Consider the following 26,352-nt stretch of genomic DNA (forward strand, 5'->3'; position numbering starts at 1 on the left):
AGATCTCCCTCCTGGCACAGCCAGCCCCTTCCTCCCCACTGTTTCACGAGGCCACTCCTGGGGTTCTCTACTTGTGCCACTGCCAGGCCTCTCCCAGCCATGGAGGGTTGGGAAGAGCGCCAATGTTCAGGGCTGTGCCAAGATGGCAACCCGTGGACAGAGGTGAGCTGACCTCTCCACCCAGCACTGACCCTGCTGGGCTCAGGGCGTATGAGTCGGCTCACTGGTCCCCACCGGCAGATCCAGAGGGATCTCAGAGATTGCCCAGCTCAGCCCCACATTTCACAGACGAGCACACTGTGTTTCAGAGAGGTCTGGAAAGAGAGCACGGACGGCAGAGGTTTGTCCTCATTCCCTTTATTGTACTCCACCCGTCGCTTCCCCCAGACCTTCTGTTCAGACAGAGCCAGGCAGGCCTTGGGAGCTGGGGCTGAGCCACAGGCAGGGAGCCCAGGATTTGGCTGGGGCTCCCACCCCAACCCGAGGTAGCTGAGTAAGGATTCATGGCTGGGAGGGCTGTCCTGGCCTGGCACACTTGGAGAGAAGCCTTTCCCTATGGAGGTGACATGGCACGGACCATGTGTGTGTGCTTGGGGGTGTAGATGTGTGTAGATGGTTGTGTTTGCAGGGCCCAAGCTGTTCACATACACAGTGTGGAAGGATGCTGTGTGCACGTAGGTGGTGTGTACACTGGGTTGTGTGCATGAGACACTGTGTGGCACGTGAGCACACAACACACATGCTGAAGGTGTTTGAGACCCTGTTCAGTGTCTGCACCTGAACAGGAAGTGCAGGCTCAGGGCTAAGTCTGACTCCCGCTCAGGAGCTTAGAGTCAGAAAGTTCGAGGACGGCACTTCTTAAACTTAGGTCCCAGAATGGCCTGGGGAGTTTGCCATCCACACAGATCATACGGCCAGCCCTGGAGCTTTTGGTTCAGGAGGTCTGGGGGTGGGCCCAGGAGCTTGCATTGTCGATAAGTTCCCCAGGGAAACCGAAGGCCAGGAAGAAACAGGGCTCAAGCAGGGCTGTCTAATAGAACTTTCTTTGACAGTGAAAATGCCCCGAGCTGTCCAGTATGGCAGCCACTAACCACACGTATCTACTGAGCAGTTGAAATGTGGCTAGTTCAGCCGAGGAATTGAATTTTGTGTTTCATTCTATTTTATTTTAGTTTAATTTAGTCACCTATGGTTACTGACTGCCACATCGGAGAGCACAGATCTAGAGAAATGGAGGCAGCGGGTTGGATAATGAGAGTCCGGAGAGAGAAGCACGAAGCTAGGGTGCAGGTGTGTGGGAGGGTCCTGCCCAGCCCCAGCCATTCCCCACCAGGAGCGGCTGAGGCTAGGGTAGGGCTCCCTCAGGGTGTGTGGGGTCGGAGCCGGAGCTCAGATTTGCACAGGTCTCTCCTACTATGCACCCTGAGCTTCTGGCAAACTGCTCTCTGCCTGGCTGAGAGGGTAGGAGACTTCCTGGGGAGGCCCCTCTGCCCTGGCTGGGACCCACCAGGGCTCCAGGCTGAAGCCTCACGCTGCACCCAGTCAGGAGTTGGGGCCCGAGCATCAGGATGTCCTCATGTTCTCCTGCAGGCCCAGGGTGGAGCTGGTAGCTGCGAGGTCACGCTCAGCCTGTGTACGTGGTGCAAGGGTTGGGGGATACAAGTCAGTGCTGGGGAAGCAGCTGCCCACGCCCCCCACCCCAACACAGACACAAGCGCCGGAGGCCTTCGAAGGGCCTGGCTCGGGGGGTTCTCTTACCGCCCCTGGCCCCATGTCCTCAGCGTATTTGAACTTCTTCTGCTTGTAGTAGTGCCTCTTAGGCAGGATGTGAAGCAGCAGCAGGTCACAGAGAACTGTGGCCTGGGGTCAGGGAAGGGCACGGAGACAGCGTGGGAATCCGGGGGTGGGTACGGAGCCCTCCACATCCCACCTCAGTCCCTGGTGGTGAGGCCCTGGCTGGATCTGACCTCACTGGAGGCCAGTTTCCTGGAGGGTGGATGAGGCCCTGCAGGACTCTCAGGGGACCAAGATGGTTCCACCCCAACTCTGTCCTGCCCCAGCTCTGGGCCTTGGTTTTCTTAGATCTATGTAGTTGGTGGGGTGGGCAGCTGCTGGCTCAAAAATGATAGACAGTTAGGGTCAAGTTTTAGGGTGAGGGACGTCTTGCTGCTACTGAATTGTGGAAGAGGAGGGGCCAACCCCAGCACAGTGAGCCGGTGACCCCAGCACTTACCACCCCAAAGATGCCAATTCCAGAGCCGATGGTGGTCATTGTAGGGATGATGTCAAACTTCCCGGCCTGGTGGCAGGACCCAGGGAGAGAAGGGCTAACCGTCGGAAGGGGCCCAGCTGGAAAAGGCCGGACCTGGGACAAGGGGACTTCCCCACCCTCGGCTGTGAACTGTCCCCACCTCGGACTCTACATGGGCCACCAGCTGCTGGTCAGTAGACCTGGGTTTTGACCTTGGCTCTGCCTCCCTGAGCGCAAGGAGACTGTGGGGAGGCATGGCCACAGGTTGCAAAGCCCTGCTCTGGACATGCCCCATGACCATCTGTTATTAGAAGTAAAACTGCTGGATGAACCCACCCAACTTCCGGTTGTCTATAACTGTAGATGCCCAAAGGTACTCACAGGAGCTGAGAATGTGTCTCAGCTGCCACCACCCTCACACTGGACACTCACCTTGCCGTCCACCAGGATGTCAAAGCGAATCCCAAACACCTTGAAGAGGTGACGGTAGTTGGTCCCGTTCTCCACAAAGTGCCTGGCAAACCTTGGGGAAGGGATGAGGTGGCAGGAGGGTGATGGAGGGGACTGTCTTGGGTCTGGAGTTCTTAGCGCATCAGGGATACAGGAGATTTAGTGGTCTCTGAGTACAGCCTCATCCCCAACACCGGGCAGGATCCCAGGCCTCATTCTGGGAAAGTTGTACTCAACTCTTGCCCCAACTCCTTTTTCTTTTTTTTTTTTGTGAGACGGAGTCTCGCTCTGTCGCCAGGCTGGAGTGCAGTAGTGTAATCACAACTCACTGCAGCCTCAGATTCCTGGTCTCAAAGCAATCCCACCTCAGCCCCCCAAGATGCCTTGATTACAGGTGTGGGCTGCTGTGCTCAGCCATTGCCCCAGCTCCCAATGTCAGCAATTTCCCCAGCTAGTCCTGGCCAGGTGGGCCTGAAGGGGTCTGAGACCCAGGGACAGGGGATTTGAGACTTCAATATCTTTCTCCCTGCTGGCTTCCTGCATGGCCACCCAGGCAGAATGAGAGCTGCCCAGGACCCTCTGCTCCCCTCTGGGGACACTTTCTCAGACCTGAAGTGTTCTGGGAGTAGAAAAGCCCGCAGGACCACAAGGAAGAATGTGCTGCTGGGGGCCTGGCAGACACCTGAAGTTGAAGCCTGGGGAGAGATTTTTCTCTTCGTACAGCCCATGGAACTCATAGATGGGTCTGCAGTGCCGTACGTGCCAGTCCAGGTCACAGTGCCAGTCGATGGTGATGCCAACCACTCCACCCTGCCAGGGACACAAGTAGTTAAGATCTGGGATTTCAGGATCAAAAACCCCTGTCTCAGCCGGGCGCAGTGGCTCACACCTGTAATCCCAGCACTTTGGGAGGCAGAGGCGGGTGGATCACCTGAGGCCAGGAGTTCAAGACCAGTCTGGTCAACAGGGTGAAAACCCGTCTCTACTAAAAATACAAAAATTAGCCAGGTGTGGTGGCGCACGCCTGTAATACCAACTACTTGGGAGGCTGAGGTAGAGGAATCACTTGAACCTGGGAGGCGGAGGTTGCAGTGAGCCGAGATCCCACCACTGCACTCTAGCCTGGGTGCAGAGCCAGACTCTGTCTCAAAAACAAACAAACAAAAAAAGCCCATCTCACAGCTGGTACACGCACTCTCTCAAGAACAGACCATTTTGGAGCCGGGCGTGGTGGCTCGCACCTGTAATCCCAGCATTTTGGGAGGCTGAGGTGGGCAGATCACTTGAGATCAGGAGTTCGAGACCAGCCAGACCAACGCAATGAAACCCCGTCTCTACTAAAAAATACAAAAATTAGCTGGGCATGGTGGCGGGTGCCTGTAATCCCAGCTGCTTGGGAGGCTGAGGCAGGAGAATCATTTGAACCCGAGAGACAGAGGTTGCAGTGAGCCGAGATCACACCACTGCACTCCAGCCTGGGCAACAGAGCAAGCCTCTGTCTCAAAAAATCAACAACAACAAAAAAAACTGGACATTTTTTATTTAAGAAAAGATACTGAGAAACTGTTTTGGGGTAGAGGTCCTGTCACCCTCACTGGCCTTCCCTCCCATTACCCTCCACACTCCAGCTCTCTGACCATTTCTTGTTTATTTATTTATTTATTTTCGCCCTGCTCTTGTAACCCAGATACGTCCTTGTTATTCCCTTCTGTTTCACTCGTGTGTTTTCTTTGGGAGCATTTCTCGCTTTATAATCATAAGTTTATTTAGTGTGATTATGTATTAACCCATCTCCTCCAAGACTGTAAGCTCCAGGAGGACGAAGCTATCTGTCTCATTCATCACCAACTCCTGAGTTCCTGGCACAGGTCACAGTGTGGGAGGCAAGCAGACAATTACTGCATTAATTAAAGAAGGAATCTGTGAAGACCTGGATTGGGAAGAAAACATTGGAGAAAGCGAAGCTCCTCTGGGCGAGGCGAGTAATGGGACAGGTGGAGATAGGCTGAGCAACAGGAGAAGAGCTGGAAGGTGGTCAGAGAAGGGGACAGGGAGCTGGGAAACTTGCCAGGAGCCTAGTTACTGAGAAGTTCCCAGTTGAAGATGGCAGGGAGATTTTTTTTTTCTTTTTTGTGAGACGGAGTCTTGCTCTGTCACCCAGACTGGAGTGCAGTGGCACGATCTCGGCTCACTGCAACCTCTGCCTCCCAGGTTCAAGCGATTCTCCTGCCTCAGCCTCCTGAGTAGCTGAGATTACAGGTGCCCGCCACCATGCCCGGCTAATTTTTTATATTTTTAGTAGAGACGGGGTTTCACCGTGTTAGCCAGGATGGTCTCGATCTCCTGACCTCGTGATCCGCCCGCCTTGGCCTCCCAAAGTGCTGGGATTACAGGCGTGAGCCACCGCACCCAGCCCTGATGACAGGGAGATTTTTAGGAACAGGGAGGTCTAACATTCAGCATGTGTGTTGCTCCGGCATCAACCCCCTCCAGGGGTCAGGAAACTGAGGCCCATGGGCCTGATCATGGCCAGGTCCACTCTTCACATATGGTCTGTGGCTGCCCTTGCCCTTCCACAGCTGACTTGGGTAGTTGGCACGGAGCCCATATAGCCGGCAAAGCTGAAAATAGTTACTATCTGGCCCTTGAAAAAAAAGTTTGCTGACCTCCCTTGTAGACAGACAAATGTGTCGTGAGTGGGTTATTTTGATAACATCACAGAAAAGGGATTGATTTCGTTCTTGAACAGGCAACTGCAAGGGCAGGACTAATAAGGGACACGTGCTGCCAGGTGTACAGGCTTCCCACGCGCCAGGCAGCGAGGCACGCCAGGCACACGGCGTCAACTCTGCCAGGTGTATAGGCTTCCCACGTGCCAGGCAGCGAGGCACGCCACGCACACCGCGTCAACTCACTTGACCCTCGGGGCGACCCCACGAGACTGGCACCATTATTGCCCCCCGTCGGTGGGTCCAAAAACTCACACCCACTGAAGTTAAGAGACTTGTCTGAGTTCATACTGCTCGTTTGGGGCAGAGCTGGGATTTGAACCCGGTCAGCTAGTTCTGCGCTCATAGGGACTGCTTCTTCGGAATCCCAGGTGACTGCGAGGATCCCAGGGCACAGGATTTCTCAGGGCCATAGGCTATAGGATTCAAGCTGCCTTTTTATTTTTATTTATTTTTATTTTTGAGACGGAGTCATTCTGTCGCCTGGGCTAGACTAGTGCAGTGGTGCAATCTCGACTCACTGCAACCTCCGCCTCCCGGGTTCAAGCAATTCTCTTGCATCAGCCTCCTGAGTAGCTGGGATTACAGGTGCCCGCCACCACACCCAGATAATTTTTGTATTTTTTTTTTTTTGACAGAGTCTTGCTCTGTCCCCGAGTCTGGAGTGCAGTGGCGTGATCTCAGCTCACTGCAACCTCTGTCTCCCAGGTTCAAGCGATTCTCCGGTCTCAGCCTCCCAAGTAGCTGGGATTACAGGCGCATGCCACGATGCCTGCCTAATTTTTTTGTATTTTTAGTAGACACGGGGTTTCACCATACTGGTCAGGCTGGTCTCGAACTCCTGACCTCAGGTGATCCGCCCACCGTGGCCTCTCAAAGTGCTGGGATTACAGGCGTGAACCACTGTGCCCGGCCAATTTTTGTTTTTGTTTTTTTTTTGTTTTTGAGATGGAATCTTGCTCCATTGCCCAGGCTGGAGTGCAGTGGCGCAATCTTAGCTCACTGCAACCTCTGCCTCCCGGGTTCAAGTGATTCTCCTGCCTCAGCCTCCCTAGTAGCTGGGATTACAGGTGCGCGTCACCATGCCTGGCTAATTTTTGTATTTTTAGTAGAGAAGGAGATTTCACCATGTTGGCCAGACTAGTCTCAAACTCCTGACCTCAAGTGATCCACCCGCCTCTGACTCCCAAAGTGCTGGGATTATAGGCACGACCCTCCGCACCTGACCAAGCTGCTTTTATCTAGTTTTTTTTTTTTTTTAAAGCAGGGCATCAACAAACATCCAGATGACAAGGTCTGCCCACATCCGTTCATTCTGGGCACCTCCTTCGTGCCAGTTCCATGCCAGGACCTGCTGAAGACATGGATCTGACGCTCAGGGGGCCCCAGTATCAGGGGACAGACCCATACATATACTCAGCCCTCACCGAGGAGACTTGGGAAGATGAACTGGGCCTAAAAAGCCTTTATCAGGATCCTGCGGCCCAGCCCTCCCCACGTGCCTGGCACCATGCTCCATACCTTCTCAGCCAGGGTGCTGAAGTTCTGGCCTGACTCTTGCACCACGTAGCCAAGCTGGAAGACTGGGCACAGGGGGTGCAGGGTCTTGTGAAAGAGGCAGGTCTTCATGTGGGCAGCATTCACCTCCTCCACCAGGTTGCGCCTGTGGGGGTGGAAGGTGTTGACAGCTGCTGTGTGTCATCCGGGAGGGTGCCCACCACGCCCCAAAGCCTGGGGACCCCTCACAGGCTCCACATTGCCCCTTTGATTCCTTCCACGCCAGCAGGAATGGAGGGAGACAGAGACAGCTGAGAGCTGCCGGAGCGGCCCCGGCCAGCTGCCTGCATTTCTGCCCGAATTTCCCACGCACCTGTTGACCTTGAAGCGTGGAAAGCTGATGCTGTTCTTGATGAAAAGAGTGAAGTTCTCGGCCTCTCGGAGAAGGGCAGGGCTGGAGGACACCACACGCACTCACCGCCCCTCCCCAGGAGGCCCCCTGTGTGTCCCACACAGAGCTTGGCACAGCAGGGGGTGGGCCGAGCCTCCGGGACCCGCCTGCAGCCCTGGGCTGGTGGAGGGGTGGGTGTGCTCTAGCGTGGCCAGGACCCAGGGGAATCTTCAGCCTAGGTTGCGCGGATGGGGTGAGGGTGGGGTCAGAAAAAGGGGTAAAGATCCTTTCTAGACCTAGGCCCCCCTCTGTCTGGCCTGGGACCCTGTTCTTAGCTCTCTGGAAGGTCAGAGTGTTACCGCGGGATGTCGTCATCCACCTCCACGGGGCACCAGCCAAAGATCTCACACGTCTTCACAGTGTCGTTGAAGGCCACACACTTGCCCGTGCGGATGCCTGGAGCCAGAGGGAAACCCCTGGGTGCCTGCACTAAACAGAGGAGGCCGCCCCAGACCCCTTCTCCAGGAGCTCCCAGTGACGGGCCACTCAAGCAAAGGAGCCAAGGACAGAAACGTGGCTGGGTCCCGGACGGGCAGGCCAAGCCAGGGCGGAGGAGGGGAGACGGCAGGAGGGAGTCCCTCCCGGAGGCCGCCTCGGCGGGAGGGGTGTGGAGAGAGGCAGGTCAGCACCAAGCTGGGCCTGCAGGACGTCAGGGACCGCAGCCGGGGGACTGTGGAGGGACAGGAGGAGGCTGACCTTACCTTGGGCCTTCCTCTTGGCCTTCCCAGGGGTACAGCCACTGTCTTCCTTGCATATGCCCCCTTCTGGGTGCTGGGGGAGGCAAAAGCTGCTGGTCCCAGGCCCCTTGGGTGGGGTCCTGAGAAGAGCCCCTCTCCCCACCCCCCAGGGCCCTAGGGAGAGCGTGGGGCAGAGTCTCAGACCTCTCTGGAGTGACGCCTGCTCACAGCCTCCTTCCCCCATTTCCCCCCACACTGCTCTGCCGAGGCGCCCCCCGGGCTCATGCCCAGCTGCCCACTGCCAATGTCAGCTGGGCGGTGGGGGTGGGCACGAAGTCTCGGCACCCTGCCTGGTACACCGTGTGCTGGGCGGGAAGGCTCAGCTCTGCAAGGGTTGACAGTTGCTGTGTGTGAATATGCGCCCAAATTTCCATCACTATGGCCCCTGCAGGAAGCCTCTCTGGCTTCCCCTCCAGTGCCCCTGGAGACTTTCTCTGCACGTCATTTTCCCCTGTGAGTCCCAGAAGGGGGCTGGCGGGCAGAAGTCCTCACCTCTGCGCAGTAGCCTTGAGTCTGCTTCGGGGTCACGATGAAATTGGTCATGACCACGAAGGAGTTGTCCCCCTAGAAGTGAGGGGCAGGGGGAGGGTGGGGTGGGCTGGGAGCTGGGAGAAGAGCCCCAAGGGCCCCACCGCTGCCCCAGCAGAGGCCCCTAGAGCCCACAGGACACGCAGCAGCCACCACACCCCCTGCCACCAACATGGGGTGATATCACCAGGCTGCTTCTGCCCGGCATTCACAGAGGTCCAGAGAGAAAGAGGAGCTGGGCTGGTCCCACAGGGACGTGGGACAGAGTCCCACCCAACTCTGAGACAGGCCCTGTGAGGGGAAGGTGCAAACCTGAGCCAGCTCACCTGGGCTGGGAAGACGTAGTCAGCCACATCCCAGACCTGGGGGCCGAGGCCAGGGAGCTGGGTCACGGCCAGGCCCTTGAGTTTCACAGAGACACTGCTGATGAGGCCGCTCGAGGTCTGGTAGCCCTTCTCATAGAGAAACACCCACCTGTGCGGGTGGGGACAGAGGGGGAGTTGTGGTTGTGGCACCAGCTGGACCTGTCACACGCTTTCCCACGCCCTCCCCAGATGTGCCTCTGAGCCACCATCTGCTCCTAAAGCTCCTGTCTTGGGCTAGAGGCAGGACAGCCTCCCCTGCCTCCCGCTGCTGGCCTGGGCCTGAAGTTCCACGGTGCTTTTCACTATGAAAATGCTAATTCAGGACGGGCGTGCCATCCCAGCATTTTGGGAGGCCGAGGCGGGTGGATCACCTGAGGTCAGGAATTTGAGACCAGCTTGGCCAACATGATGAAATCTGTCTCTACTAAAAATACAAAAATTAGCTTGGCATGGTGGTGGGTGCCTGTAATCCCAGCTACCTGGGAGGCTGAGGCAGGAGAATCTCTTGAACCCAGGAGCCGGAGGTTGCAGTGAGCCGAGATCGCGCTATTGCACTCCAGCCTGGGCGACAAGAGCAAAATTCTGTCTCAAAAAAAAAAAAAAAAAAAAAGGAAAGAAAGAAACTGCTAATTCAAATACTCTTTCCAATCCTTTTCCAAGAACAGAGTTTGCTGGGGCCTGGAGGCCAAGCCTCCTCCTTCCAGGGTGCTCCTCCTTCCAGAGGTCCCAACAGAGCACGAAGGCTGAGAATATGGTCTTCAATGCCTAACAGCCTGGGTCTAAATCCCAGCTCCATACTTACTGTGGGATTTGGGGTAAGCTATTCAATCCCCTGTGCCTCAGTTTCCTCATCTATAAAATAGGAATAATAACGGTACTTCTTTTTTTTTTGAGACGGAGTCTCGCTTTGTCACCCAGACTGGAGTACAGCGGCGCCATCTCGGCTCACTGCAACCTCCTACACCCGGGTTCAAGCGATTCTCCTGTCTCAGCCTCCTGAGTAGCTGGGATTACAGGCATGCACCACCACGCCCAGCTAATTTTTTGTATTTTTAGTAGAGATGGGGTTTCACCGTGTTGGCCAGGATGTTCTCGATCTCTTGACCTAGTGATCCGCCCGCCTCGGCCTCCCAAAGTGCTGGGATTATAGGCATGAGCCACCGCACCCGGCCAACAATGGTACTTCTTGTAGTGATCAAGTGAGTGAGTTCATACATGTAGAAACACTCAGAATGGGGATGGCACAGAATAAATGCAGTATAGACATTAGTTGTTATTATGATCCAGCCATGCTGGGACCCCCTGGGAGACAGCGAGGAAAACAGAGCAGGGAGGTGGTCCTCTGGAGGGCTTGCAGCGTCCAGCCCCTCGGTCGAGGCACTGTGGGAGTGGCTCAGTCGGGAGGTCTTCCAGTTTTCTTGGGAAATTCTGGCCTTGCCTTCCCAGCATTGAGCTGTCCCGTTCCTTTGGATTCTCCACTTTCAGTCTGGAAGGTTCCATGAGGCTAACCTCCCTCTTAGCCCCAGGAGTTGGGCAGATAACCAAGGCTTGCCAATCAATGTTCCATCCCCCTAGTAACAGTGACGGGTCTAAGGACACGCACATGACCTGAGGAGTTTCAGCAATGAGGCCAGGACTTTTCTGGGAATTGCCAGGAAAGAAACATCCTGTCTATTGAGTGGCTAAGCAGGGTGGCTGCAAGACGAAAACTATGGTAGTCATCTTTGCCACCTTCTGGAGAGAGCAATCCTGACAATGAAGCTCTCCTAGAGGAAAGCCAGGCCAGGAGATAGAGAGGGGCAGAATCCTGACAATGTTGTTTGAGCACCTGGATTCAGCCATACCTGAAGCACAGTTGAAAAATCTACTTCTGGACTTTTCAGTTACGTAAACCAATAAATGTCCTTCCTTTGTTTAAGCCAGTTCGGATTTGGTTTCTGTTGCTTGCAAATGAAATAGTCCTGGATAACACTCCTCTCCAGGCTGTGGCCCCTTCCTCGAGGAAAGACTCTTTTTGGAGATTCAGGGTAACGTGTGTGTGTGTGTGTGTGTGTGTGTGTGTGTGTGTGTTGGGGTATGGGGTGTGTGGCTGTATACCTGCAGGGCAAATCTGTGAGTGCACCTGTGGCCAGATGTATCATCCCCCTCCACTCCTTACCCTACCCCGAGCTCACCTGTCCAAGGGGAGCTCAAAGCAATGGACTCCCTGCTCCTTCCCCCAGGGCTCAGATCTGGTAACAGAACTCTCCAGGCCTCTTAGTCCCAGAGTCACCTCTCTCCCTGCTGCAGGCCCCAGGGAGGCCACCCACCAATGTCCTCTTCTTTCTTCTCATGGCCCACCCACCTCTTCTCTAAGCCCCCTCTCACCTTGGCACTGGGGCCAAGTCACATGCTCCCGAAGCCTAAGCTTGGTCACTGCTGTCCCCTGCAGGTCCCAGATAGCAACAGGTGGAGGCATGACAAAGGCCTCTGATCCTCAGTGTCCTGAGTCTGTCACGCTGCCTCCAGCCCCATCAGGGAGAGCAAGAGCATTGCCCATCCCCCCACTGGCCTCCTTGGGCCCCTTCCTCCAGGAGGGCCTCTGGTTCTGTGTCCAAGCCAGAAGGAGCTGATGCAGGGGGGAGGAGGAGTTTCTCCTTGTCCTGGGCCCCTCTGCAGGACAGGCCACTGACCTCCCTCTCGGCACCTTCAGCCCCAACAGCTTAGCAACGTTTCTATCTTTGCCCAAAACGAACTTTCTACCTTTTCCCAAGAGACAGGGAAGCTGAGGCCTGCAGGAGTGGCGGTCTCAAGTGTCCCCATGCTTGAGGCACCCAGCCCAGGACTCAGCCCACCTCCACTGAGCAACACTGGCTTCGACGTGTCTCCCAGGAGGCAGAGCACAGAGGGGAAACAGAGCCACCTGGAGCCCACAAGCCGGGGCTGATGCACCTTGGAGCTGCCGGTCTTGAGGTCGAAGGGAAAGGTCGGTCAGATCTGGCATTCATGACCTCAACTCTGGTGATAATAGAATGACTATGGGCTGGGCGCGGTGGCTCATGCCTGTAATCTCAGCACTTTGGGAGGCCAAGGCAGGTGGATCACCTGAGGTCAGGAGTTCAAGACCAGCTTGGCCAACATGGTGAAACCCCAACTCTACTAAAAATACAAAAACTAGCCGGGCATGGTGGTGGCGGGCACCTGTAATCCCGCTACTTGGGAGGCTGAGGCAGAGACTCACTTGAACCTCAGAGGCGGAGGTTGCAGTGAGCCAAGATTGCACTCTGCACCCCAGCCTAGGCGACAAGAGTGAGACTCCGTCTCAAAAAAACAAAAAATAATAATAGAATGACTATGGTGCCAGGCCTGCTCCTCCAAAGCCATGCCTTGATCTGGCCTTATTGTCACCACCCTGGGAAGACAACCAAGAGGGCCTGATGTCAGACACAGGCATCTTCAGAAGCCTCTCCCCTTCCAGAAATAACCCTCACCATGCTTTCTACCTCGTCATCAGCAATCCCCCATCCTGGGGCTCTCCAATGGCCTTCTCAAGGAAGAGGCCACAGGGTGGAGTGGCTGAGGGTCAGGTGCCAGCCCTGCTGCTCCCCAGCTGTGTGGCTTCAGGCTAGAGACTACACCTCTCTGAGCCCTGGTTTTCTCAATAAAACAGAGGTGACGCCACCTACCTCAAAGGCGCTGCTTATTCATTAAGTGTTTAGTGAGGCTCTGCTACAAACTCAGCCTGGGCCCCAGGAGACAGAAGCATCTAGGTAAGTGTTTGGGGGAAGCTTCTATGAGTTCTTTTTTTTTTGAGATGGAGTCTCAGTCTGTTGCCCAGGCTGGAGTGCGGTGGCACGATCTTGGCTCACTGCAACCTCCACCTCCCGGGTTCAAGCAATTCTCCCACCTCAACCTCCCGAGTAGCTGGGACTACGGGCGCGCCCCACCACGCCCGGCTAATTTTTTTTATTTTTAGTAGAGAGAGGGTTTCGCCATGTTGGTCAGGCTGGTCTGGAACTCCTGACCTCGTGATCCGCCCGCCTCGGCCTCCCAAGGTGCTGGGATTACAGGCGGGAGCCACCGCGCCCGGCCTCTATGAGTTCTTAAGGAAATTAGCACAGTGCCTGGCACTCAGTGGGCACATATAATGAAAACCTCCCATTTTCACTGTTCTCCGTTCCTCCTTCACAAATTCCTCTTTCAATGTTGATCCGCCCCCATTCCCTGAGTGAGCTGCCTCAGACACGCTGTGTCCCCAGAATTCTATCTCCAGACTGCACTCTCCCCTGAGATTCAATTCCACACATTCAATCATTCAACAAACATGAGCCGGGTGTGGTGGCTCAGGCCTGCAATTCTAGCACTTTGGGAGGCTGAGAGGGGAGGATCACCTGAGGCCAGGAGTTAGAGACCAGCCTGGGCAACATAGTAACACGCTGTCTCTACTAAAAAACAAAAACAAACACGTATTTATCCAGCCCCTATTCATGCGCCAAACACTGTTGAACAAAACAAACACAAAAGTGAACAAAACAAACAAAAATCTCGCACCCAAGGGTCTTACACAGATGCTCCTCAAATGACGATGGGGCTATAACCTGATAAACCCATCCTGAGTCAAAAGGCTCTTAATACCCCCAATAAACCCACCATAAAGTCAAAAAATCCTAAGTCAAACCACGCTAAGTCCAGATGCTCCTCAATTTACAATGTGGTGATGTCCTGATAAATTCTTTTTTTTTTTTTTTTTTTTTTGAGACGGAGTCTCGCTCTGTCCCCCAGACTGGAGTGCAATGAGGCGATCTAGGCTCACTGCAACCTCTGCCTCCCGGATTCAAGCGATTTTCCTGCCTCAGCCTCCTGAGGAGCTGGGATTACAGGCGCACACCAACACGCCTGGCTAATTTTTGTATTTTTAGTATAGACGGGGCTTCACCATGTTGGCCAGGCTGGTCTTGAACTCCTGACCTCAGGTGATCCACCCACCTCTGCCTCCCAAAGTGCTGGGATTACAGGCATGAGCCACTGTGCCCGGCCTACGAAATCTATTTCGTGCCAAGCACTAACCACTATACAGACAGAAATTCAATTGGATCAACCTGAACTCTTCATCTCCCTTTAGAACTTGTTCCCCTGTGTCCTCGTCATGGAGAATGGTGCTGTCCTCACCCTATCACCCAGGCTCAACACCCAGGCAGCATCCTCACAGCCACCCTCCCCATCATGCCCCCACATTCATTGGATCCCCCAGTCCTTCTGGTCCTCCCTCGGCTTTCATCTAAGGACCCAGAAGGGCTGGTTTTGGGAAGGCTGAGACACTGGAGGAGCTGGGACAGGTGCGGGGGCAGCTCTGGCATGGGTTGGGAGGACCGGCCAGGTGGCTGGTGGGACACAGGGTATGGCCATGGGCCACAGGCAGGAGTTGACCAGATGGGGCGTGTGCTGTCAGGGAGCAGCAGCCTTGGGGAGGGGCATGAGCAGACTCCAGGCCTGGGAGGGAATGTGCTCAGAACTGGGGCCCACCCTGAGGCCCCCATGCAACCCGCAGACAAGTCGAGGGGCATCTGGGTTAAGTTCCTTGAGTGCAGGATCTTGGTTTGTTTTGTTCACTTCTGTATTTTTAGTGTCTAGAATAGTGCTTGGCACATAATAGGAACTCAACAAACACTGTGTGTTGAATGACTAACTGAATGTGGAATTGAATCTCAGGCCAACCATTTGTGTTTTTAATTATTTTATTTTTATTGTTCTTTATTTATTTTTGAGACAGGGTGTCACTCTGTCCTCCAGGCTGGAGTGCACTGGTGCAGTCGTGGCTCACTGCAGCCTCAACTTTCCAGGCTCAGGTGATCCTCCCACCTCAGCCTCCTGAGTAGCTGGGACTGACTACAGGCACGCGCCACCACACCTGGGTAATTTTTTTTTTTTTTTTTAGATACAGGGCCTCACTGTGTTGGCCAGGCTGGTCTTGGACCCCTGAGCTGAAGTGATCCGCTCACTTTGGCCTCCCAAAGTGCTGGGTTTACAGGCGTGCACCATGGCACCCGGTCTGTTTTTCTTTCTTTCTTTCTTTCTTTTTTTTTGAATACGTCACCAATCTCTAAAAACCAAGCGGTTTCTTTCATGCATAAATCTCACTTCCCACTTCTCTTGAGACGTCGGAAGCTCTGGCTGTGCCAGGTGTTACGTGCTGCGGCAACAATGGGCAGAAGCTGAGCAGGGGCCGCCCCAGGCGTGAGGCCTGCCGGGGTGACGACATCTGTCACCCGTGCTCACTGCCTCTGCCTTGGGTCCCGCCCCGTCCCCCCTTCCCATCCCTGCGGCCTCTTCACAGCTGTCCTGCCTCCGGTCCCCACGCCCACCCCTGCCTGCTCCAGGCCCTCCCCTGCTAGACATCCTGTCTTGGCTCCCTTCTGCCTGCAGAAGAAATCCGGGCGCCTCAGCCTGGTGTTCAAAGGCCTTCGCCATCGCCCCTGCTCTCCCTTTCACAGCCTCTCCCTTGGGCTCCTTTTATGGCCCCTTCAGCCTAGTCCCAGTGACACCTTCTCTATTCCTCTCCGGCCCCAAGACCTTGGTTCACACTGTGTCCCGACAGGAGAGCCTGGAAGGGTGGGCACGCAACCAGGCTCCTCCAATCAGGGCATTCCGTTTCCTTGACTGCAATGATTGATTGGTTCTGGGGTGGGCACGGGACCCGACCCCGGCCAATAAGAATTGAACCTGAGACTTTTGCTGGAGCTCTGGAGAAGGAGCCACTCTTGTGCCTCGGGAGTGGCTAAACTGGTGAGATGTTAGCTTGGAGCTGCTGGTGGCCGTTTCACCACTGTGAAGACAGAGAACTTGCCTGAGAATGAAGCCTCCACAGAGGAAAGAAGAGCCAGGAAAGGGAGATAGGTCATGGGCAGCTTCTTTTGAGAACCAAGACTGGACCCGCAGGAATTCCTCATCCCCTCTCCCCTCTAAACCTTACTCCTCCTGTGTCTTCATCCTGGAGGATCCAGCCGGGCCTGAAACCCACACTGATTTTTCAGTTACATAAACCACCGGATACCCCCACCTTTCCTTTTATTTATATATTCATTTATTTGTTTGTTTTTTTATTTTTTTTTTTGAGACGGAGTCTCACCCTGTTGCCCAGGCTGGAGTGCAGTGGTGCGATCTCGGCTCACTGCCATCTCCGCCCCCCAAGTTCAATCGATTCTCCTGCTTCAGCCTCCCGAGTAGCTGGGATTACAGGCGTGCGCCACCACACCCAGCTAATTTTTGTATTTTTAGTAGAGATGGGTTTTCACCATGTTGGCTAGGCTGGTCTCAAACTCCTGACCTCAAGTGATCCACCCGCCTTAGCCTCCCAGAGTGCTGGGATTACAGGCGTGAGCCAACGCACCCGGCCCACCCTTCCTTTTAAATCTGTTTGATTAGACTTTTCTCACAGGAACCAAAGGAGTCTGGCTAATTCACCCTCAGTTCCTCCCTCTCCCTCTCTCCATTCCATGTCCCACCTCTGTTCCCCGGCACAGCACCAGGCATGGAGAAGATGCTGCAGAAACGGTCCCTGGATGTGTTTCTCCCCCCAATAATTTCTATCCATCCTTCTCCCTGATTGGTGCACTCTGATCTCCACTTGGAGATCTCAGAACATGTGATTTCAAGAGGTCTGTGTGGAGGCGCAGGGGATGAGTGAGGACTTAGTTGAGAAGAGACCCAGAGGGACTGGAGAGAAAGCTGAGAGCAGGCCAGCCCAGCCCACAGCCCCCAGGTCTTTGCTTATGGCTGGTTCCATCAGTGTGTCACCTCCTCCAGGAAGGCCTCCCTGGCTTCCTCCCCACTGCCTGTACACCACCAGGGACAGAGAGCTCATCAGCTCTTCGGGGAGAGCTCTAACTGAGACCATCTTTTTTTTTTTTTTTTTGAGATGGAGTCTCACTCTGTCACTCAGGCTGGAGTGCAATGGGGCAATCTCAGCTCCACTCTGCCTCCAGGGTTCAAGTGATTCTGCTGCCTCAGCCTCCCAAGTAGCTGGGATTACAGGCGTGCACCACCACACCCAGCTAATTTTTTCTATTTTTAGTAGAGACGGGGTTTCACCATGTTGGCCAGGCTGATCTCAAACTCCTGACCTCAGGTGATCCTCCCACCTCAGCCTCCCAAAGTGTTGGGATGACAGGCATGAGCCACTGTGCCCAGCCTTAACTGAGACCATCTTAACTGGATCTGAGAGGGTCAGCTCAGCTCAGCCTTCTGGTCTCAGGCCCACTCACTGCCTGCACTTGCCCAGGATCTCCTGGAGGAGCATGACTGGCGGAGACCATGGCCTCGGTTTTCCTCCTGAGTCTGTGTTCTTGGCTTCTCAGCCTCCCTGCTCAGCCTCAGTAACTCTGTCCATCTCTGAGTCTCGGGACCTCCCACCCTTCGTCTGAGTTGTGCTCTGGCGTTTGTCCCTCTGTCCAGGTCTGTCTCTGTGTCCACCCATCCCCCACCCAGGCTTTGCCCTGTGTCTGGGACACGGGGGCCTGGCTCTTCTCTCATGCTCCTTTCCATCCCCTGGCAGTGCCCACAGGATCAGACATGAAAGCAAAGCCCTCCTCAGGAAACAGCAAAGTGCTGAGCTGAGTGCACTCTTGGGGGGGGTGGTCCCCTGCAACCCGTGCCCCACGGGCCGGTTAGGAAGCTGAGTCCGGAGATGCCAAGACCAAGTCCAGGCTGGGTCAGGGGTTCGGTTTGCCGCTGTGGGTTCCTGGCTGAGAGGTCAGTGCAGTACTGAGCAGTGGCCAGACGAGGGCGCAAGAGACAGCAGGCACCACAGCCTGAGCAGGAGCTGGAAGCCTGGGCCTGCAGCCCTGGGGGTTGCTGGTGATGACGGACTCTGCCTTCCTTCCACCCTCTGCTGTGTGACGTGGGCAGGCCAGTGCCCTCTCTCTGAGGAGGTTGCCTTTCCAGAATATCAAGGCTGACTTTGGAGCCATGCAGGTGGGTTCAAATCCTGGTTAGTCTCTTACTAAGCTGTGAGATCCTGGCTAATCCCTGTGGTCCTGAGCCCCACAGACACCGAGAAGGGCCACATCCATTTGGAAACTGATTAGACAGTCTTGGGAGGGAAGACAGGCAGGAGGACGGTAGTGAGGTCCCCGTCACTGGAGGTATAGGTTCCCGGCTGGGCAGCAGCTTGGGGCATAGGCTACGGCTGGGAATGGGTGGGTCCCTCCAACGCTGACAGCCTGTGACACACACAGAGGAGGGACCTGGTGCCCCTCACACCTGCAGATCTGAAAGCAGAACTAGGGAGCCGCAGGGGCAGAGAGAGGACAGCCTTCCCCCAGCCTCTTCCAGCAAGGGTAGGCTGGGCCTGCGCAGACAGCCTCTCCCAGGGACGGTCAGGAGTGATACTAAGGGTGGACTTCCGGCCCGTCCTGTACCTGGCATCCCACCATCAGTGCCCAGTAGAAAGGATCCACAGCCCCTTGTGATGGTGAGGAAGGAGAAGGCACAGCAGAGGCCTGGGGGTCAGGAGGGCTCAGCTGCAACCCTGGGTTTGCTGCTGACTTGCTGTGGACCTGGAAACCCCACTGCCCCTCTCTGGGCCTCAGTTTCCCTCACAAGCTCAGACATCACAGATGTCAAATTAGTTTCTGAACAAGAGAGAGGAGAGGTCAAGGCTGGGGTCTGGCCCTGGGTCCACCTGGCCGGCTCTGAGGTTCTGGGGACTGGTGGGACAGAAGGAGGGCTCTTTTGGACGCCAGAAGTTTCCGGGGGACTAGGACTTCATGGTCCTTGTTTGGGCCCTGGGTCAGCCTGCCCTGGACTCCATTTAGCAGTTCTGGTTCGGAACCATGGTAAAAATGGGGAGGGTAGAGCTCTCAGAATCACACGGCAAAGGCAGGCAGGGGCTACTGGGCACCCCTAGGACCCCAGCAGGGGCTGAGCCCCCTCCAGTGGCCCTGGGGCCTCCAGGAGACCTCTGCAGAGTCACTGTGAGTGGACAAGATGCACCACACACAGGGGACACACACTGGCCACCCAGACACTTGGCCACAGGGCAGACATGGGCACAGCCATATGTACACATAAGGGTACCCACATGTGGGCACTCAGCACCAGGGACACACACCCAGACACATATAGGCACAGAGCTCCATATGCACACTCACAAGTGTGCCAGCCTCTGCCAGGCCTGTCTTGGCTCCCGAGACAACCATACTGCAGGAGCGTCCCACGCTGCCTCTGATTCTGCACTCCCAGCCCGGTGGGACAGGTCCGGAGATGCCCAGAAAGGAACTATCATCCCTGGGACCAGAACCAATCTCTGTCCTCCGCCTGACATGCCAACATGAAGGCACCAGGTATTCAGAATGTGAGAGTTTCTCTGCTCCGGGGGCCTCAAACGTCCCTGGATGTCCCTTGCTCAGGCAGGGAAGCTGGCAGCAGAGTCTGTCTCTCTCTAACTTGTCATATGGGGTGACGGGTGTGGGGTATGGCCTCTGTGTGTCAGTGGCGGCCTGGTTTGGCAGGCGGTCAGAGGTCGAGGACTCAGTGGCTGTGGTTGGTGGTGCCCTGGCCCTGAACACCACTAACCACTCAAAGGAACCATAACACTGAGCCGGCTCCTCAGAACCCAGAGACTCTGCCTCCTGTTCACCGAAGGCCCCCGGGCAGGGCTTCCCCTCCGGCCTCGTCCCCATCTCAACAGCGAGTTGGCAGGATTTTCTATTCTCGCACAGTGGCTTGCCAGGAAGGCCTTCCCCTGGATGGAGAGGAAGAGGGGCTCGCTGGTGTCACGCAAGGGATGTCAGAGTCTGGAGGACAGGCCCGGGGTAGGGGCTGGTGCAGGCAGCGGGAGGCGCCCGGACTCACCCGATGACGTAGACCAGGACCACCAGCTGGATCAGTCGGAAGATAACGCCCACCTTCTTATTACGCACCAGCACCATGCGGGGGGTGTCATACTCGAAGAGGAAGGCGGCCAGCTCCTCCTGGAACCGCCGTGCCATGGTGGGCCGGCTGGGGCTCAGAACTGAGCCCCCTGCACGGCCTCTGCTCTCAGGGTGAGCCGGGTGCCACCACCCACGTCGATGGTAGAGCTTCTGGGGGCTTCCTGGCCCCTTAGGAAGAGCAGGGCGGTGCAGGTGGAGCCAGAGGACAGGAGCCAGAGGTCAGCTGGAGGCACTTGGGTTGGAGAGAGAATCCCTGGGTGATCAGAGCAGCTCTTGGCCCCTGGAAGGCAACAGACTGCAGGCCAGCCTCGCCCATGGACAAATAAATTCCCAAAGATAGATGGGGCGGGGCTGGTGGGGCCACCCAGGCCCAGCCCCACTGCCCCTCCTGGCTCTGCGTGGGCCTTGTTGGGCCTCCGGAAACAGGAGTTGTTGGCAGGAAACCACAGGCCACCCGTCACAGGGGCAAAGATAAAGCTCTCAGTCGACTCCTCAAGTTATCCTCCCCCCAAAACCTGGCAAGATGGAGCTCTGGCCAGGGCCTGGGGGAAGCTGGAGTCTCCTCAGATTAGGGGACTCCCCGCGACTCCCCTCCACTGCCAAAATGAGACCTCCATCCCCAGCCCCATCCACCACCCTCCACCCTCCCCCACCAGGGTTGGCTGCTTCGTCCCTGGGGGTCTGCAGCGAGCAAGGCAGAGAGGAAGGAGGCTCTGAGTTCCAGCCTGGCCTGTGCCCGGTCAACCTCGGTGCTGAGCTGGCATCTCTATCCCCCAGCTCTCCTCTCCCACTGTCTGTCCTGCCGGGGCCACCATCAGAGGGAGAGAGGTGGCAGGTGCCCAGCCAAGACCAGCACCACATCCGTCACCAGTGCCATGGGGGGCCCAAGACCAGCCGAGAGAGCCTGACCTCGGAGATCCCTGGCTCTGCCACTTCTTGGCTGTGGGGGCTGGGTGTCACCTTGCCTCTCCGAGCCTGCTTCCTCATCTGTAAATTGGGGTAATAAGGGCTGTTCCTTCTAGGTCGAGGCTCACAGGGGATGGGTCTCAGCAACACGGGACAGAGAACTGGAGGCCACCATTGAGTCTGGGGCACAGCACCTCTGCAGTCCCTGCCTTCCCTTCCCACCCCCAGCTCGGGCCCTGAACACAGGGGTTTGGGGTGGGCAGAGGGTCCCACGTTGGCTCCTCAGAGCTGGAGGCCTCCCCAGCCCCACCCCTCGTTTTGAAGATGAGAAAACCAAGCTCAGAGAAGAGAAATGAGTTGCCCAAGCTCACCCGGGGTGGTACTGGAGGTTCAAGCTGGAAGCAGGGGCCTCCCTGGCGAGCCCCCACGGCCCTGTCGTCGGAGCCGCCCCACCCTTAAGGCTGATAAGGAGTCTTCTTGCTGGCGAGCCATGAGCTGGAAGTGCTCTGGGCAGGGAGCCAGGCCCTGGGGCTGGGAATCCCGGCAGCCTGTCTGAATGGGGGTCACCCACAGAGGGCTGCCCATGGCCCCTTCCAGCACCCAGGTCAGTCTCTCCTTGTCAAGTAGATCAGCCTCACCCCTCGCGGAGTTTCTGCTAATCCAGTGGGTGTCATGGGCTTTTCTAAAGAAAATCCAGAGATGCTGGGAGCCAGAACTGTGGTGGCCACGTCTCCCCTTGGCCTGACCTTGACCCTAGACAGTTCCTTTCCCAGCTGCCCCTGTGGCCATTGGAATGGGAGGCACCAGGACACAGCTGCTTGTGATGGGGAGTGGGGTGGGTGCTGAGACTGTGTGGGCCATTCTGGGTCCCTTTTCAGCCACCCTTCTCCCTGATATGCGTTCTAGAGAGTGGGTGGGGTGGGAGGGAACGGAGGGAGGAAGGGAGGGAGGGAGGGAAAAGGAAGGGAAGGGAAGGGAGGGAGAGAGGGAGGAGGAAAGGGAAGGGAAGGGAGGAAGGAGGGAGGAAGGGAGGGAGGGAGAAGGAAGGGAAGGAAGGGAGGGAAGGGAAGAGAGGGAGGGGAGGGAGGGAGGGGAGGGAGGGAGGGAAGGGAGGGAGGGAGGGAGGGAAGGAGTAAAGGAAAGAAGGAAGGGAGGGAGGGAGGAGAAAGGAAGGGAAGGGGAGGGAGGGAGGGAGGGAAGGAAAAAAGGAAGGAGGGAGGGAAGGAGGGAGGAAAGAAGAAGGAGGGAGGGAAAAAAGGGAGGGAGGAAGGAAGAGGGAGGGAGGGAGGAGAGAGGGAGGGAGGGAAGGAAGGAAGATCAGGAAGTTCTTCCTCTCACATCACCACCATGTCTTCTTCCTCCTCCTCCTCCTCCTCCTCCTCCTCCTCCTCCTCCTCCTCCAAGGAGCCACACTTGCTGACAGAGAGATTGACGGATGGACTGACAGACTTGCTTGGACAGATTGATGGACTGACAGAGCACACACACGTGATTCAGTTACAGCCTAGGCCCTGGCCCTGGCCCTGAGAAAGTGGACTGGCCTGGAGCACCGTCTCATTTGGGGATCTTATCATATCCACAGTGTACCCCAGGGACCTACATTTATTTTCCTGCTGCTGATAACTCCACAAGAGCAAGACAGCCAGCTGTCGGGGTCAATGTCTCTTTCACTGGCTCTAAAATGCATCTTTCTGATCCAAAGGCTGTGATTTCTCACCCTTGGGCCCTGCCCCAGCGTCCTCAGGGACAGACACCTGCCTTTGTTCTGGGTGTTTGGGGCTGAGGTGGGCAGGACAGAGGCCAGAGCTCCACCCTCTGGAGTCTGGCAGGGTTTTCCTCACAACAGGCCCATGAGGCAGGTCCTAGAGCCCACATCTGACAGATCAGGAGACTGAGGCTGTGGGGATTGAGTCCCTGGCCCATGGTCACACAGTGAGTAGTTCCCATGTCTGCTGGTGGCTGAGAAGGAGGCTCCCCAAAGTCTGAGGGCTTGGCCCCGGGCCCACTCGAAGCCTCCAGCACTTGAGAGCCGCCAGTCCTGCCTTATAAGCCCAAAGACCGGGTGGCCGACTCGGGTACTGGGCCGGGCCTTGTAGGGAGACAGCCCTGCTGCCAAGCACTCGGCCCCGGGACAGCCTCCCCGGCCTGGCTAAATTTAGCGGCTCTGTGCAGCGTGGAGGCTGGAGGCCGGCTGGAGCCCTCGAGGGAGCAGACACGGGTTCCAACAGGTCTCCTTAGTCACTCAGGGGCCCGAGGATGCCGCAACCATACCCCAGTCAAACCGTGATGCCATCTGGGCCAGAGATTCCTCTAATGCCACATAGCCCCTTAGACCCTGACTGGAGCAGGGCCCTGGGCCAGCCTGGCAGAGGCTGTCAAGGGGAGGTTGGGGGAGGGCCGACAGCTACGGGGAGGCCTGGGGAGTACAGCGTGGGCCCCCATGTTTGGCGTCTCCCATTGCCTGGACCCGGGCTGCTTCTCAGGCCTCTTCTATCCCCCAACTCTGGGTGTGACCTGGCCGAAGCCCCCCTCCCGTGTGTTTAAAATGTCCCACCCTCCTGGTCCTCCTCCATCCCTCTGGGCCATTTCCCTTCATCCTCGGCCTCTCTCTGCCCTGGATTAAGAGAACTCCTGGGAGGCCAGGGCTGGTGGCTCGTGTCTGTAATCTCCGCACTTCGGGAGGCTGAGGCAGGAGGATTGCTTGAGCCCAGGAGTTCGAGACCAGCCTGGGCAACATAGGGAAATCCTGTCTCTACAAAATATACAGAAAAAAAAATTAGGCGGGCATGGTGGAGCATGCTTATAGCCCATAGCTGCCTGGGAGGCCGAGGCGGGCAGACCACCTGAGGTCAGGAGTTCAAGACTGGCCTGGCCAACATGGTGAAACCCCATCTCTACTAAAAAGACAAAAATTAGCTGGGAGTGGTGGCGGGAGCCTGTAATCCCAGCTATTAGGGAGGCTGAGGCAGGAGAATTACTTGAACCCAGGACAGGGAGATTGTAGTGAGCCGAAATCGAGCCACTGCATTCCAGCGTGGGGGATAAAGTGAAACTCAGTCTCAAAAAACAAAACAAAACAAAACAGAAAAAAAATTAGCTGAGCATGGTGGTGTATGCCCATAGTCCCAGCTACTTGGGAGGCTGAGGTGGGAGGATCTCCTGAGCCTGAAAGGTGGAGGCTGCAGCAAGCCGTGATCATGCTACTGCACTCCAGCCTGGGTGACACAGCGAGAGCCTGTCTCAAAATAATACATTAATTAAATAAAAATAAAGAGGACTCCTGGGGGCTGGGCTGGGCCCTGCCCCTCAAACACCCAGTGCTGAGCACTCAGGTGGGAGACCTGCCCCCGCCCACCGCCAGCTCCCAATCCTGCTGACACCTCTACACCAGCATGGTGGCCACATCCACCTCCTCTCTGGCACTCACCTCTTTTTTTCTGTTTCTTTTTCTTTTTTTCTTTTCTTTTCTTTCTTTCTTTTTTTTTTTTTTTTTTTTTGAGGTGGAGTCTCACTCTTGTCATCCAGGCTGGAATGCAGTGACATGATCTTGGCTCACTGCAACCTCTGCCTCCTGGGTTCAAGTGATTCTCCTGCCTCAGCCTCCGGAGTAGCTGGGATTACAGGCACCCGCCACCACACCTGGCTAATTTTTGTATTTTTAGTAGAGACCAGGTTTCACCATGTTGGCCAAGCTGGTCTCGAACTCCTGACCTCGTGATCCGCCCGCCTCGGCCTCCCAAAGTGCTGGGATTACAGGCGTGAGCCACAATGCCCAGCCTTTTTTTTTTTTTTTCTTTAAATCCAACTGTCTTGGGGTGTAATTCGCATACAATAAAACGCACCCATTTTAAGCACATGGTTTGATGAGTTTTGACAAATGCACCAGCCCCCTCCAAATCCATCAGCCTAGAACACTCCCGCCTCCCGTTTGTGGTCCATCTTTCCTCAGCACCCCCAGGCCCAGGCAATCACTGACCCGCTCTGTCACTGCAGATTTGTGCAGTCTCGTCCAGAGCGTTAGGGAGGTGGAATCAGGCAGGAGGAGCTCCTTCGCGTCTGGCCGCCTTTGCTCAGCCCAGCGGTTTAGGCTTCGGGTGGCAGTTGCGTGCATCAGTGGTTGGTTCCTCTCGGTTGCGTGGACGTACTGCAGCTTGCTTATCCTTCATCTGTTCATGGATATCTGAGGCCTGTGCTGGGTGAAGCCGCTGTGGACACTCGGGGGCCTTTGTGCGCATGTCCAGCTTCCCTTCTCCTCCCTGCTGTGATTTTGTGCCTCCATTTCTCCTAACACAGCCCCACCGGGGTCCCTCCCACCACTGTGAGGACTGGAGCGTGGGGTCTGGGGAGCACAGAGTCCTGGTCTCTGGAGGGGCAGGGTCCCCAGGAGGGTTTTGGTAGTTGCCAGTTAGAAGCGTGCCAGGGCTTGCCCCGGAATTCCCTCCTGGGTGACCAGCTGTGAGGTAAGGAGACCTCTGTTTACCTTGGCCGCCCCATCCTGGCCCGTCGGCTCCGTGCTGTGGGCTGGACGGAGCTGGACTCAGGCCGGCCTGGGCGGGGGTGGAGGCAGCGTGGCTGGGAAGCCTGGAGCCGACCGCCTTGTCCGCAGGACCCCCAGCCCATCTGAGCCTCACAGCCTGCCTGGCCCCCGTGATGCAAGCTAGATGCTCAGATCGTCAGAGGGCCTTGGGGAAGGCATGGCCCGCCCATTCTGGGCCTCGGGCTCCTCATCCGTAAATGGAGCCCTAGCCCTTGCCTGGCCCATCTCCCAGGGCTGGCTGAAGACACCGGGAGATGAAGTGTATGAGAAGGTCCTGTGGTATGAGAGGTCTTACGGGTGGACCATGTGGAGGGAGGCGCCTTCTGCCTACCCTGCTCCTGCTGTGAGCTCGGCGCCAACCCCAGGCCCCCTGCTAAGGAACCTGGGAGCTCCTGGGTTGGGGGTGGGGGTGCTGCCTCCACCGACAAGCTGGCATCATGGACGTGTGATCCAAGTACCTGCACCAGGCCCCGGGCTCAAAAACGCTCTGTGCTGGGGCCATTTTCCCTCATTCCCGGCCTCTCTCTGCCCTGGATTAAGAACTCCTGGGGGCTGGCCCTGCCCCCAAACACTGAGCACTCCTCTCCAGTCCTGAGGGTTCTGACACCACCACACCAACATGCCAGCCATGTGCCCACCCACCTCTTCTGTGGCTACCTCTTTTTTTCCCTTTTAAGTCAAACTGTACTGCAGTGTAATTCACAAACAATAAAATGCACCCATTTTAAGCACACGGTTTGGTGAATTTTAATGTTCTTTTTTTTTTCTTTTTTTTTGAGACAGAGTCTCTCTCTGTCACCCAGGCTGGAGTGCAATGATGTGATCTCGGCTCACTGCAACCTCCGCCTCCTGGGTTCAAGCGATTCTCCTGCCTCAGCCTTCTGAGTAGCTGGGACTACAGGTGCCCGCCACCACGCCTGGCTAATTTGTGTATTTTTAGTAGAGGCGGGGTTTTGCCATGTTGGCCAGGCTGGTCTCGAACTCCTGACCT

At 56.3% G+C, this 26,352-nt stretch overlaps 1 protein-coding gene across 10 annotated transcripts, besides 8 other annotated features; it reads right to left on the reverse strand.

Annotated features, from left to right (window-relative positions):
- On the reverse strand, positions 342–20,215 carry P2RX1 (purinergic receptor P2X 1). Of its 10 annotated transcripts, none has more exons than XM_006721529.3 (12): positions 19,839–20,215; positions 8,970–9,117; positions 8,608–8,679; positions 8,080–8,149; positions 7,678–7,774; positions 7,301–7,330; positions 6,952–7,093; positions 3,384–3,511; positions 2,684–2,774; positions 2,234–2,299; positions 1,759–1,860; positions 342–1,629 (listed from the first exon to the last, which is right to left on the reverse strand). In XM_006721529.3, the coding sequence occupies exons 1-12, from the start codon at positions 19,973–19,975 to the stop codon at positions 1,564–1,566; spliced, it is 1,149 nt and encodes a 382-aa protein (XP_006721592.1). In that variant the 5' UTR covers positions 19,976–20,215; the 3' UTR covers positions 342–1,563. The 10 variants fall into 10 exon arrangements, with proteins under 10 accessions (XP_006721592.1, NP_002549.1, XP_011522199.1 ...); NM_002558.4 differs by having other exon boundaries at positions 7,301–7,381; XM_011523897.3 differs by having other exon boundaries at positions 2,684–2,834; positions 7,301–7,381.
- Positions 7,564–8,242: an enhancer, noted in NCBI's record as "H3K27ac-H3K4me1 hESC enhancer chr17:3807108-3807786 (GRCh37/hg19 assembly coordinates)". NCBI's record gives its function as "activates a minimal SCP1, AML or CMV promoter by ChIP-STARR-seq in naive H9 embryonic stem cells {active_cell/tissue: H9 hESC(naive)}" and the evidence as "EXISTENCE:reporter gene assay evidence [ECO:0000049][PMID:30033119]".
- Positions 14,974–15,023: an enhancer, noted in NCBI's record as "active region_11522". NCBI's record gives its function as "activates an Ori minimal core promoter by ATAC-STARR-seq in GM12878 lymphoblastoid cells {active_cell/tissue: GM12878}" and the evidence as "EXISTENCE:reporter gene assay evidence [ECO:0000049][PMID:35858748]".
- Positions 15,404–15,473: an enhancer, noted in NCBI's record as "active region_11523". NCBI's record gives its function as "activates an Ori minimal core promoter by ATAC-STARR-seq in GM12878 lymphoblastoid cells {active_cell/tissue: GM12878}" and the evidence as "EXISTENCE:reporter gene assay evidence [ECO:0000049][PMID:35858748]".
- Positions 17,907–17,966: an enhancer, noted in NCBI's record as "active region_11524". NCBI's record gives its function as "activates an Ori minimal core promoter by ATAC-STARR-seq in GM12878 lymphoblastoid cells {active_cell/tissue: GM12878}" and the evidence as "EXISTENCE:reporter gene assay evidence [ECO:0000049][PMID:35858748]".
- Positions 18,037–18,106: an enhancer, noted in NCBI's record as "active region_11525". NCBI's record gives its function as "activates an Ori minimal core promoter by ATAC-STARR-seq in GM12878 lymphoblastoid cells {active_cell/tissue: GM12878}" and the evidence as "EXISTENCE:reporter gene assay evidence [ECO:0000049][PMID:35858748]".
- Positions 18,337–18,416: an enhancer, noted in NCBI's record as "active region_11526". NCBI's record gives its function as "activates an Ori minimal core promoter by ATAC-STARR-seq in GM12878 lymphoblastoid cells {active_cell/tissue: GM12878}" and the evidence as "EXISTENCE:reporter gene assay evidence [ECO:0000049][PMID:35858748]".
- Positions 18,527–18,596: an enhancer, noted in NCBI's record as "active region_11527". NCBI's record gives its function as "activates an Ori minimal core promoter by ATAC-STARR-seq in GM12878 lymphoblastoid cells {active_cell/tissue: GM12878}" and the evidence as "EXISTENCE:reporter gene assay evidence [ECO:0000049][PMID:35858748]".
- Positions 19,319–19,388: an enhancer, noted in NCBI's record as "active region_11528". NCBI's record gives its function as "activates an Ori minimal core promoter by ATAC-STARR-seq in GM12878 lymphoblastoid cells {active_cell/tissue: GM12878}" and the evidence as "EXISTENCE:reporter gene assay evidence [ECO:0000049][PMID:35858748]".

This window comes from Homo sapiens, chromosome 17 (genome assembly GCF_000001405.40).
Source record: "Homo sapiens chromosome 17, GRCh38.p14 Primary Assembly".
Classification (NCBI taxonomy): domain Eukaryota; kingdom Metazoa; phylum Chordata; class Mammalia; order Primates; family Hominidae; genus Homo; species Homo sapiens.

What these genes read in the sequence shown, in the direction of transcription:
- P2RX1 (XM_047436158.1), bottom strand. Translation starts at nt 19,308, where the DNA reads ATGTCAGGCGGAGGACAGAGATTGGTTCTGGTCCCAGGGATGATAGTT. An exon ending in TCAGCACCCTGGCTGAGAAG is followed by an intron (nt 3,512 to 6,951) that starts GTATGGAGCATG and finishes TGTCCCTGGCAG; the next exon opens with GGTGGAGTGGTTGGCATCAC. An exon ending in GAATTGGCATCTTTGGGGTG is followed by an intron (nt 1,861 to 2,233) that starts GTAAGTGCTGGG and finishes CCCTGACCCCAG; the next exon opens with GCCACAGTTCTCTGTGACCT.